This window comes from Homo sapiens, chromosome X (assembly GCF_000001405.40).
Source record: "Homo sapiens chromosome X, GRCh38.p14 Primary Assembly".
NCBI classification, from domain to species: Eukaryota; Metazoa; Chordata; class Mammalia; order Primates; family Hominidae; genus Homo; species Homo sapiens.
In genome coordinates this window covers 111,844,483-111,857,555 of record NC_000023.11, presented here as the reverse complement: position 1 = coordinate 111,857,555, position 13,073 = coordinate 111,844,483, and the positions used below count along the sequence as shown (strand labels likewise).

At 42.4% G+C, this 13,073-nt stretch overlaps 1 protein-coding gene across 3 annotated transcripts in view; it reads left to right on the top strand.

Annotated features, from left to right (window-relative positions):
• The window catches only part of TRPC5 (transient receptor potential cation channel subfamily C member 5), a 314,766-nt gene that overhangs the window by 225,221 nt on the left and 76,472 nt on the right, over positions 1 to 13,073 (top strand). For all 3 annotated transcript variants that reach the window (NM_012471.3, XM_017029774.2, XM_047442413.1), the window contains 3 exons: positions 3,450 to 3,786; positions 5,119 to 5,258; positions 10,120 to 10,442. In NM_012471.3, the coding sequence (NP_036603.1) occupies positions 3,450 to 3,786; positions 5,119 to 5,258; positions 10,120 to 10,442 (800 nt within the window). The remainder of the gene's footprint in view (positions 1 to 3,449; positions 3,787 to 5,118; positions 5,259 to 10,119; positions 10,443 to 13,073) is intronic.

Sequence of the window (13,073 nt, the reverse complement as noted above, 5' to 3'; positions counted from 1 at the left end):
TCCGGATATCTCCATTTAGATGTCTCACAGACAAATCTAATTTGACAGTCTTAAAAAGGCATGCACTTCCATAAACCTATTTCATCTTCAGTGTTCCCTCTGTCAGTTAATGGCACTATCATCACCAATTCACCTGAATGAGAAGCCTCCCTCCCCTTTACCTCCCACACCCCATCCATTACTCCATTCCCCATCCATCAGCACATCCTGCCAATTCTACCTCCTCACTGCATTTCAAATCTGACCGCATCTCTCCATTTCCACTGCCATTTCCTTAGTCTAAGTCACCATCATTTTGTTCAAGATTGACAACAGTTTTCTAACTAATCTTTCTGCCTCTAGTTTTGACTGCCCTCTGCTTCTAATCCATCCTCCACCCAGTAACCAGAAGGATCTTTTCAACATCTAAATCTAATTTTCTTACATGCATAATAATATATGTAGCTAAGATTTAATGAGCCCTTACTATGTGCCAGGCATAGTTCTAAGCACTTCGTATGTAGTAACTGATCTTAATCCTCACACCAACCCTACAAGGTGGATATTATTATCTCCATTCTTTAGAGGAAGACATTAAAAAACAGAGTAGAACTTGTTCAGTTGCACAGTTAGTAAACAACAGAGCCAGTTGCAACTGCTTTATTATACTACTTTACATACGCACACACACACACACTTCTTATGGCTTCTCATTGCTCTTAAAATGGTTCATCCTATGGTTTTTTTTTTTTTTTTTGGAGATGGAGTCTCGCTCTGCTGCCCAGCCTGGAGTGCAGTAGTGATGCAATCTCGGCTCACTGCAACCTCCACCTTCTGCCCTCAAGTGATTCTCCTGCCCCACCCTCCTGAGTAGCTGAGATTACAGGCGCACACCACCATGCCCAGCTAATTTTTGTATTCTTAGTAGAAACGGGATTTCATCATGTTGGCCAGGCTGACCTCAAACTCCTGACCTCAAGTGATCTGCCCGCCTCGGCCTCTATTATTATTATTATTATTATTATTATTATTATTATTTGAGACAGGGCTCACTCTGTTACCCAGGCTGGAGTGCAGTGGCACTATCTCTGCTCACTGCAGCCTCTGCCTCCTGGGTTCAAGCGATTCTCTTGCTTCAGCCACCCAAGTAGCTGGGATTAAGGTACACGCCAACACGCCCCACAATTTTTGTATTTTTAGTAGAGACGGGTTTCACCATGTTGGCAAGATTGGTCTTGAATTCCTGGCGTCAAGCAATCTCCCCGCCTTGGCCTCTCAAAGCTCCAGGACTACAGGCATGAGCCACCGTGCCCAGCTGAGTCCATACTATTTTTAATGGCCAAAGACCATCGTCTTGATCTTCTCTAACCCCTGTTTACCTCTCCAGCCTGGTCTCTTGCCATTCACAGACTTGCAATTTAAGCTGCAGCCACCCTGACTGCTGTAGCCCTCCACATACAAGGCAGGCTCTTTTTCACCTCTATGCCTTAGCCATGCGATCCTCTCTGCTCTGGCGGTTTACTCTCTTTTCTTTTCCTCTCCCACACCTAGCCAACTGTTGCACATCTTTTAATGCTCCAGTCAGGTATCACCTACTCCAGGAAGCCTTCGCTAAGCAATCCAGATTTGTCCCTCCCTTGTGTTCCCATTATGCCATGTTCATATCGTTTTCGGTGTCCTTACTATACAATTGTATAACTCTCCTTTTGTGCTTCTGTTTCCCTCAGTAGACTGAGCTCCCAGCAGTTCTTCTACTGCAAAGGTCTTGCTTTACTCTGACTTTTCTGTATTTTCTTGGACTTCATCATCCCAGCCTTTGGCATAGGCTACTGTGGCAAAAAAAAGAGTAGAAAGGGACTATAGGATATTGTCTTTTTGTGTATGAATGCGTGGAAGGGAAGTGTGAGGACATAATGGAGATCATGAACATGTTTGGAGGAAATGACATCACAGGATGAAAACATTTTAGAGCTTATTTTTGGTAGTTTCATACCAGTAATCTTCTTTAGGACAGGCTAGACTCCAAAATATATAATGGCTCAAACACAACAGAAATTTCTCCGTGACGTAACAGTCCAAAACAGGTATTCTTATTCAGCAGGCTAGTTCTGCTAACATGGTTATTGAGGGACAGGGGCTGACAGAAGCCCCTAGATCACACCAGGTTATCACATCCCAGTCAGTCAGAAAAGGAAAAGAACATGGAGGAGCACACATAGGAAACTTCTATAGGCCAGACCTGGTAGTGCCACACAGCATTTCCCACAGTGAGAAGTTAGTCATGTGGCCACACCTCACTGTAAGGGAGCCTGGGTAATGTAGTCCAGCTGTGTGCTCAAGGAGAAGAAGAATGGTTGTGCTGGGAAACTAGTGACCTTCACAGATAAACTAACAGTAAAGTTAGGCAAGTTTACCTTTGGTGTTGGGTAAATGATGAAAGAGGTTTATTTCCTTTGTACTAGTAAGCTAAATGGTGCAGCTCTGTTTAACCTGTCCCATGGGAAGCTGGGGTAGTCAAATGTAGGCAGTATTTAAAATCATAGTTGACAGTTGAGCTCCCTGTTGAGTCACTTACCAGGAAGTAGCAGCTGGATAATGATTTGCAATGCTGATGATTCCTTAATTATTAATCACTGACACTTTGTAGATTGCCTTTGAGTAAAATCCCAGCTGGGTTAGTATACAATATCGTAATGCCAGCCCCAAAATATTTTTTCCTTTTGCATGTCTAGACTAGAGACGGAGTTAAATAGATGGCACAGTAGCAACCTGATTCATTACAAGCTAACCAAGAGGTGCTCAAAACAAAATCAAGAAAAATAAAAACAAAATATAACAGAGAACTCATTTTCATTTCAAACCCTAGCTACAGGCATGGGCTTATTCCCTGCCAGTTTGTGTTTGCCCAAACAGAGTGCACATTGATGATGACCTCACGTAGACTAAGGGAATGAGCGGATGTGAATCAATTTGAAATGAAATATCTCCATGATTCTCTGCTAAAAGGCATGTAAGTTCCCAGGAGAGTTTGTAAAACAGCTACCCAGGCTCTACTCTCTCCTCCATCCACACCCCAGAGTCTCATTTAGTCAGTCTGTGGAAGGACCTGGGGATTTAGATTTTTTAATGTTCCCTGGATGATTCTGATGTAAAACCAGGTTTGAGGAAGCACAACTCTGACAAGGTGGGAGGGACAATAGGAAGGTATGCCAAAGCATGAACCAGACAGAGTGATTTTGTTTTAATATATTAAAAAATAATGAACACTAAGGAAAATCTAGTTTCATAGTTTGACATGAAGAGCCGTCTCCGGGGTTAGATGCATTCACAGGCACCTAGAAAACAGGCCTCTTCTGGGGATTGGCCATGTAACTCCTTGCCAGAGCTGACTGTAAACTAGGAAAGGTATTATGACAGTAGACTTTCTCCTGGACATTCCAGATGCCTAACTTGTTTTCTTCTTTTCCCAGTTTGTTGCTCAGCCCAACTGCCAACAGTTGCTTGCCACCCTGTGGTATGATGGCTTCCCTGGATGGCGGCGGAAACACTGGGTAGTCAAGCTTCTAACCTGCATGACCATTGGGTTCCTGTTTCCCATGCTGTCTATAGCCTACCTGATCTCACCCAGGAGCAACCTTGGGCTGTTCATCAAGAAACCCTTTATCAAGTTTATCTGCCACACAGCATCCTATTTGACCTTCCTCTTTATGCTTCTCCTGGCTTCTCAGCACATTGTCAGGACAGACCTTCATGTACAGGGGCCTCCCCCAACTGTCGTGGAATGGATGATATTGCCTTGGGTTCTAGGTAAGTCAAAGGGACCAGGACCTATGGCCAGACTGCCTGATGGTCCTGTTTAAATAAACTACTAGAACAGGCAGTCAGACTAGCTCTGAACTAGGGCACCCCCACCCCACCCCCATGCAGTGTGGTAGTCCTTTGTTGAGAGTCTCAGAAATGTAGTTCCTTCTGTCCCGGGCACTGGTCCATGGTGAGATTGGCAGTACACCTAGGGCTTGCTTTTGCTAACTTAATATCTTCAAGGACAGAGAAGCTGTCTGTCAGTTAGTCTAGAGACAAAGCCAAGTATCAGTCAGGACAGGCCTCAAGTAAGGTAAGCAGAGCAAGTGCTGATCAGTCTATTCAAAGCACCTTTTCCCATAACCAAGGGGCACATGAATCTGCTCATTTCTCATGGCTACTCCACACGACCCAGTTCTTGTTCAGGGTCTACATCCTATTTGGACACTGACTTCACAACCAAGGGGGAAACCTGGGAAATTCACACATCATGGTAAAAGCAGCCCTACCAGTAGTCTCCAGGCATAATTAGATTGCACTGGACTCTTCAACACATGGCCATCTTCTAAGTCCTTGCTACTCAAACTGTGGTCCCCAAACCAGCAATATCAGTACCACCTGGGAGATTATTTGACACAAAGAACCTCAGGTGCCACCCGGGATCTGAATTTTAACATGATCCTCAGGTAATTCACATGTACTTTAAAGTCTGAGAAAGTGCAGCCCTAGACCACAGCCACAGCTTTTACTATTTTCTTTATTCCAAGGCAGAAGAAACATCTATGTCATCAGGTAAAATTTTACAAAACTTCTACATGATGAGAGAAAAAAGGAAAAAAAAATGAGTTATAAATTATTTTGGGCCCCATTGCCTAGCTTTAGCCCCAACATCTGGTAATTTGATCCATGATCAGCTTGCTCACCTCAAAACACATTGAGAAGTTCTCTTTCCTGAACCCAGTGGAAACTAAGGACTATGGGATAATACTGATCTAATTAATTTATTGATGAAATTATTCCCATTCCAAAATGGAAAGGAAGTAGAATCAGGCACCCAAAATTGCAACAGCATTCCAGTAACTATAGTAAAAATGCTAAGAGTAGTACCCAGAAAAGTATAACATATGGGCATTTTCAGGAAAAGCCTACCAGGTTTGGCAAGTTCAAAACTGGGAGGTGGAGTAGGAAAGCAAGTGATTATTGTCTCTCAAGGCTTCACTCCACTGAGACCCCAATTCATTCCTTAATTTCATCCTTATTCACCTGGAGGGGGGAATCCTTCTATGATGAGCAGGGCTGACCCTATGTAGAAATAAACTGTTTTCCTCCATTCTTCAGGTTTCATTTGGGGTGAGATTAAGGAAATGTGGGATGGTGGATTTACTGAATACATCCATGACTGGTGGAACCTGATGGATTTTGCAATGAACTCCCTCTACCTGGCAACTATTTCCCTGAAGATTGTGGCCTATGTCAAGGTAAATTGGAATGTCTGCCATATTTCCTACACAGCGATTTTGGCTACATTAAGCTTTTGCACTGAGAGCATAAAGAGTTTTGAGAAAAAGTGATGATGATGATGGCTCAATCCATGTGGGAAATTACCATATAAACAGACATTCTTTCAGTGGTTTGTAAGCAGTGTCCACCTAAGCAAAGAAAGTGGAAAATGGAACAATTTGCAAATGAATCATTAGCTTCTGAGACTTTCAGGGTAAAAGAGTCTTCAGCTTTCGGTGTTTAAATGCTCTCTACGATATCCGTGCCAACACAATGGCCCAGTGATGCTTGCATGGGGCCAGGGCAGAAAATTCACTGAATTCACTATCTCCAAAAGCTTCTCTTAATCCTTGTCACTTCATTAAAAAGGACTACTTTATATACGTCTAATATTATTCTCTCTGTGACACAATCATTAGTAATTCTTCCTCCCTGTGGAGTCATACAGAACAAGACTGTTTCTTCCTAACAGTGCTTCTGATATGATGCCATCTCTCCCTAACCCTCTGAGTTGTCTCTTCTCAAAGCTAAACATTCCCATTTATCTCAACTGTTCTTCATATAATGACAAGTAGCAGAATCCCAGAAACTTGACTACAGGTGGCACAGACTTTTAATAGCCCCTTCCTTTCTCATCACTTCCACCACCAGAATAATCACTCGAGCAGTTATAAATCCAGCATTTTTAGTATCACCCAACCTGTGCTTCTCTACCAATTCAGATAATGTACACACACACACACACACACACACACACACACACACCACCTTAATACTTTTCCCACACAACATTCAGCTCGAATTATCCTGAAAATAGCTTCATGTTTGACATCTTACTTTGGGTAATCAGAGGCTCTGAGTTCAGGTCTGGTGCTTATTAAATAATGGGATTGCTGTCCTCCTTGTAGCCTGAGTTAAACTTCTCCATGAGAAAAGGCTGACAATTCAGTCTCCAAGATTGTATAGTCAGTCATGCTTTTTGGCACTAAATTCCACATTAAGGACTTTTAGAATGGAAATATGGCTGTCCCCCAAATCTCCAACAACTTAGTTTATTTTTGTATCCCTAATATGCATATTGCATAAATTTTAAGACCTTGGGAGTTATGTAGAGCATGCATATTGAATGCAGTCATGAAACATTTTTGAAAAGAGCCCAAGAGTAGGCCCTATACATGTGGTGATCATTTAACACATACTTACAACTTCCTTAAGAGAAAAAGCTGGTGAGGAAAATGTTTGAATCCCTGGTTAATGTGCCTGGGTGAAATCCATGTCATTCTGGCACTCTGCTGACTAAGTAACACTGTAAAGTAAAGGGAAAAGTTCTTCCTTTGGAAATGGTATTTATACACTGGAGGGACCTTACATTATCAATCTAGAAATTGGTGGGTTTTGTTTAAACAGGAAAGCTTAGAATAAATGATGAAGAAAAGGATTAACATTTGGGGATGTGAAAAACGTATCTGTAGATTCTCAACATTAGCTAATCACATAACCTGTCCAACTTTACTGGAGAGGCTTCCAAAGAGTTAGATACTTCTCCATCACAAAGTATAAGGATAAATCTGCTCTATTAAGCTGGGTAAATGCCCCTTAACTGGCAAACACTTTATTCAAAGGAGACCTTTGCCAAGAAGTTGGAGTCCTTCCCAAAAAAGAATTTATAAAGCAAGACAGGCCACATGCAAAATTTGGATTTGTAATGAGAATTTATAAATGGGGATAATCAGGTCTACCCATCCACAGAAGTCCAGGCTGGATGACCTTCCCCAAGCAGGCTGAGCCAACTTCTATGACACAAAGCCATAAGAACTGCGACATAGGCTCCTTGAAATGTTTTCAATCACCATTGTACTGAAGCAGTACAGAAGCACCAAGGAATGAGCTGTTTTTAAAGATCCTTTATTTTATTAGAGTGCAAAATTAGTCAACAATATCTATTCCACTTCACATGATCTAAAGCAAGTACCAAAAGGTACACACCAAAGTACTCAAAAGGAACAAATATATATAAGATTGACCCTCATTGCCCCCAGATGATTCTACAAATGGAGTATAACCATTCTTTGCTTTTCTAGGATAGTACCACCTAGATCTATTCCACCACTGCTTCGCTTCCATGTGTGCCAAGTAAATCTGGACTATGCTACCCACTGAGTTATGGCCTTTCCTTCAGTCAGTGCTTAGCTAAAGACATAATAACACCCCCCTCAAATTCTTATTACTATTGAGTCCCCACATTAGGCTGTTCCTCTTCATATTTTGCTTTAGGGTTTATAAAATGCAATTTACATCCTTTGAAAGGCAAGGAGGCCAATTTTCTAACTGCATTCCATTTCAAAGGATGTAAGAAAAATCATTTGCCTCCAACAACAACTAACTCAAGAGTCAGGAGATCTGAATTTAATTCCCAATCTGATACTCATGAGCAGGGTTACCATGGGCAATCCCTCTACCTTTCTGAGCTGTAGATTCTGCCTCTGATAAATAAGCAGTAGGTTAAACTAGATCAGTGGTGCTCAACCTTTTAAAAAATTTTTTCCCATGGTACCACATCTTTAAGCAAAAACTCACACAGTAATCCAATATATAAAAAGCCCAAAGGACTGAGTTTGGCTTGAAGAATGAGTCTTCTAAGTCTCCACTTTGGCTCCCACAGTAGCTATGAGATGCCTCCATTGAACCCCCAGGCTCTAAGGAACACAGTTTAAAACGACTGTGTTAGATCAGGGGTCAGCAAACTATGGTCTGTGGGCCAAACCTGGCCTTCTGCCATGTCCTTGTGGTTGTATATTGTCTAGGGCTCCATTAGGATTACAAAGGAAGCATTGGGTAGTTGTGATGGGAACCATAGAGCCCACAAAGCCAAAAATATGTACTATCTGATTCTTGACAGAAAGTTTGCCAACCTCTATGCTAGATGAGCTCCATGTTTATTCCCTGCACATACATACTATATCTTTCTCCAAAGGTGCAAAGTATCTATGTTCAAAGTATAGATTTGCCATGAGAATCATGTTTTACACTTCTGAGTGTTCCACAAATTCAGATTCACCATCCCATGGGCAACAGACATCCCTGAGGTTACAGTTCTGGATGAGGAGAGAGAAAATCCCAAATTATGAGCTATACATGTTCCAGTTGTTGATTTCTAGTTTTAAAACATAGGTCTGTTTTGTTATCAGCAAAGAGACTATCTTTCACATATACCTCAAACCTTTAAAGGCTGATCTATCATCTGTGCTGTGATATCAACTATCATATAAGTAACATTTAATAGAAATAGTGCTAGACTGAGTGTCTGGAGACCCGTGGATAACTTCTTGCTGGCTCTGCCACCGACTTGCTGTGTGATCTTTAGCAAGTCACTCTGCCTATCTGGACTTCCTCCATTTGTAAAACAGGCATAACCATTCCTACCCCTCACAGTAATGCAGTGCATGTTTGTTGGGGGAGGAAAAATGTAGAAATATAAGATTTGGCCAAGAGTACGTAAAACTGATTGGCCGCCTAAAAGTCTATCCGAAGCAGAAGCACAAATGTGGCACAGTTTCTCCAAGCTCCTCTGACAGAGAAGAATATTGGATACACACAAGTGATTTTAAACGCACCAGTTTCCTCAGTTGTTGGAACTGAAGCACATTTTAGAAATGCTAACAATATAATTTGGCCCCCAATGCAACATTTTCTCAGGAAAGTTGTTTACATTTAGTCCTGAGAAATTGTGATATTTAAATGTGAGCTCAAGGCAATATGCTTCAAATTAAATTCCAGGCAAAATCTACTTCTGTCCTGGGAAGGTAATAAGTAATTCCTTGTATTTCCATAACATCTCCACTTATGGAGTACACAGACTTTTGCATATGGATACAGAATCACAAACATGTGCAGTGGGTAGGAGGCATTATCCTCATTTTGTGGTGAAATTAAAAGATACAGGCAGTTTTAAGTGACAATGCCCAAATTGGAGCTCAGATCTCACAATGAAGTCATCTTTCTACAAGGCTACTCCTAATATGCCGGGGGCTGGAAACCTGGGATGGGTAACCAACCCAATAAATATTGGTTCTTCCCCTCCTTCAAGCCCCTGGTTCTTCATGTGTGCTAAAGGAACATTCTAACTTACAGAGTTGTCAAATGAACTGTAAAATACAACCATACACCACTGTATGGGGCAGTACTAAATTCATTACCTGAAAGGTTGACATGCCATTTGCAGTAATGTAGAATACATTACAGCCTGCTAAAAATTCAGCAGAAAGCTCCAGTGAATGGCTCCCTAAGGATCCTCCATCAGCCCCAAACTGCAGTCAGCAAGGGAGTGAGAATGAACACTGCATACCGAGAAGGCTGCGTCTACTCCTTGTCTTTCAGTAACAGCACGTTGTCCATGGTGCTCAGAGCCCAGTGAGGGATTGAGGAAGTACATTTGGCTTGAAATCTTTAGGAAGCAGGGTGATTTTTCCCCACTATCTTGGGCATACTAGTGCCTCTGTTTCAGTGACACTCCCCAACAATCTGTTAAACCCACAGTTAGAAAATGTCTGTTGATAAGCCACAGGTGGTTGCTGCAGATGATTGATCTAAAATTTATTCTTCTATGTGTACATCCCAGGTATAGACGTGGATGGGAGTGGGAGGAAGAGAGTTGTTAGCAGCACATGTTAATTGGGTGGGGCAAGAAAGACAAATAGTGTCATGCATGGGGCCTGTTGCATAATGAATGCTTGATGCATATTTTGGTGGCTTTGTTTGGGTATGGAAGCAAGGAAAAAAGGGAAAGTTTTATAAATGTTCACTGTACCCCTCATCTTGTGCACTTGTTGTTTCTTTCAGTATAATGGTTCTCGTCCAAGGGAGGAATGGGAAATGTGGCACCCGACTCTGATTGCGGAAGCACTCTTCGCAATATCCAACATTTTAAGTTCGTTGCGTCTCATATCCCTGTTCACAGCCAACTCCCACTTAGGACCTCTGCAGATCTCTTTGGGACGCATGCTGCTTGATATCCTCAAATTCCTCTTTATCTACTGCCTGGTACTACTAGCTTTTGCCAATGGACTGAACCAGCTTTACTTCTATTATGAAACCAGAGCTATCGATGAGCCTAACAACTGCAAGGGGATCCGATGTGAGAAACAGAACAATGCCTTCTCCACGTAAGACGATCCCCTTTCCTTTATTTATTTATTTTTTTTTTTGCCATTTTTTCCGCCTTCTCCATTTTTGTCCTGTTTTCAGCCTACAGCTTCATCACTGCCACTTGACTGTGAAGGCAGTGCTCACTGTGGATCCACCCGAAGGGTCAGAGGTGGAGGAATGTTCTTCTCTTGCTACAGGGTACTAGGGGATGAAGTGAAGTTAGGTGAGGTAGGAAAGAAACAAGCACACACATGAGATCCCAGGAAGTCATCTAAAGAGTTGGTTCTGAACTATGTTGGTAGCATTACATATTTTTAAAAGAATTAATTGGGGTGAGGTAGATAATTCCTCACTCGAAATGTGGCACCAAGGTAATGAAACAGCAAAGCTATTCCTCTGAACGAGTGGCTACCAAAGCTAACTTTACTATTGTGAATCAAGGAAGGATGCAAACATATCTTAATGCACCCCCATTCATAGGTGTAATCTCGAGAGGGGACAGGCTGAAGGTAGGACTAGAATCCACTCTCCTGTTACATTAATTTAAGGTTTCAGGTGGGCCAAGTGTCACCCAGCACTAATTGGAAATGTCTCAGGACACAAGAGATAACTCATGATTCTGTCCACGAGTCCACTGCCTCTGAACACATGGAACTCCTGTGCCTTTGCTTAGTACTGTCAAGACCTACTTTTTGGGGGACCTTCAAGCCTTCAGAACGGCTTTTATTTTCTGATAAATCAATGCCAGGGGAAATAGACAAGAGAAAACAAATAAGTACATGTCAGGCTGTTAGGAGCTGTCCTGGGCTGACCCTGAACTCAGTGTTCTACATCTTGTCCATCTCCACCCCTACTTCGGGAGAGTGCAACTCATCACTGGATATTCATAGCAATGACCCCAAGATCATACAAGATTCTTAGTCATTAAACTAAGATACAATTTTTTCCTTATAACGCCATAAACCAACACAGTTCAGTGGACTTGGACATTCTAGAAATGTGCTCCATAACAAAGGCCAGAGAAAAAAAGGACTGTTGCAGTGATAGAGAAAAAAACAAAACAAAACAAAACAAAACAGTGCTATCTAGCTGATTCTTGTTATTTGTCTCTAGCAGCATTTCCTAAAATGGATTCTCACAAACCACAGCTCAGTGGCATGTTAATAGACAGGAGAATGGAATCTATGATTAAACCTCCTGCACTAGGCCATGCTCCTTGTCTCTCTTCCTGAAACTCAGGGCTAAATCTTGGGTGTGGAAACCAGATTAATGTGCAAGGAGAAGGGGTCCAAAATGGGTTGACAAAGAGATAGTGCTATTTTGGTTAAGCCAACCAGGAGTGTATAACAGCAGCTTATCAGCTCGCTAGTGCCTGTTGACTAGGAATGGCTTCCTCTCCTGCATTACTCTAGAGACAGAACTCACAGCAACCTGTTTTCAACATAAAGAGCAATTGTGTAGTGGCCTGAGCACCAGGAGACTGCATTTGTTCCCATCAAAGTGTTCAACAGAATTAGATACATGAATGAGAGGTGCCTTTCAGGAGGTCAGGTCCTTGCCAATTATGCTTTCATGTGTACTCTGCTGAGGAAATTTATGAAATGCCTCCTTGCAAGTTTGTAATGATTATTAACACCCCTGTTGCCAACTGACATTTTGCTCCTATCACTTGCCTAGCAGGGACAATTGAAAAGAATGGGCACCTGTCATACATAAAATTATATCTTGGGGTGTGAAGAAGCATTGTCATGGTGGGGCCAAATCAGCAGTAATGTTACCTCAACTTTCCCTCTATCAGTTGATGTTTTTTCCTCCGTAGAAGGTTGACTCATATTTATGTTTTCTTTTAAAGGCCTCAACTCAGGGATTCAGTCATTCATTCATTCATTTATTGAGATGGAGTCTTGCTCTGTCACCCAGACTGGAGTACAGTGGCGTGATCCCAGCTCACTGCAACCTCTCTCTCCCAGGTTCAAGCGATTCTTGTGCCTCAGCCTCCTGAGTAGCTGGGATTATAGGTGCCCACCACCATGCCTGGCTAGTTTTTATATTTTTAGTAGAGATGGGGTTTTGCCATGTTGCCCAGGCTGGTCTCGAACTCCTGACCTCAGGTGATCCACCCGTCTCAGCCTCCCAAAGTGCTGGGATTACAGGTCTGAGCCACTGCACCCGGCCTCAGGCATTTATCATACCTGTTAAAATACACGTTACTCAGCCAGGGAGATAGAAAGATTCTGCTTTTAGAGAAGGGGATAGTTTGTTTATGTATCTGGTGGAAAGTTTGGTACCTGCTTATTGTTATCCTTTTCCTTCTGATTCTCCAGAGATGCCATTGCTTTTCTTCCACATAAAAAAAGAAAAAAACAGGCCAGTCGCGGTGACCCACACCTATAATCCCAGCACTTTGGGAGGCCAAGGTGGGCAGATCACCTGAGGTCAGGAGTTCAAGACCAGCCTGGCCAACATGGAGAAACCCTGTTTCTACTAAAAATACACAATTAGCCGGGTGTGGTGGCACATGCCTGTAATCCCAGCTACTTGGGAGGCTGAGGCAGGAGAATCGCTTGAACCCAGGAGGCAGAGGTTGCAGTGAGCCGAGATCACGCCATTGCACTCCACTCCAGCCTGGGCAACAAGAGCAAAACTCC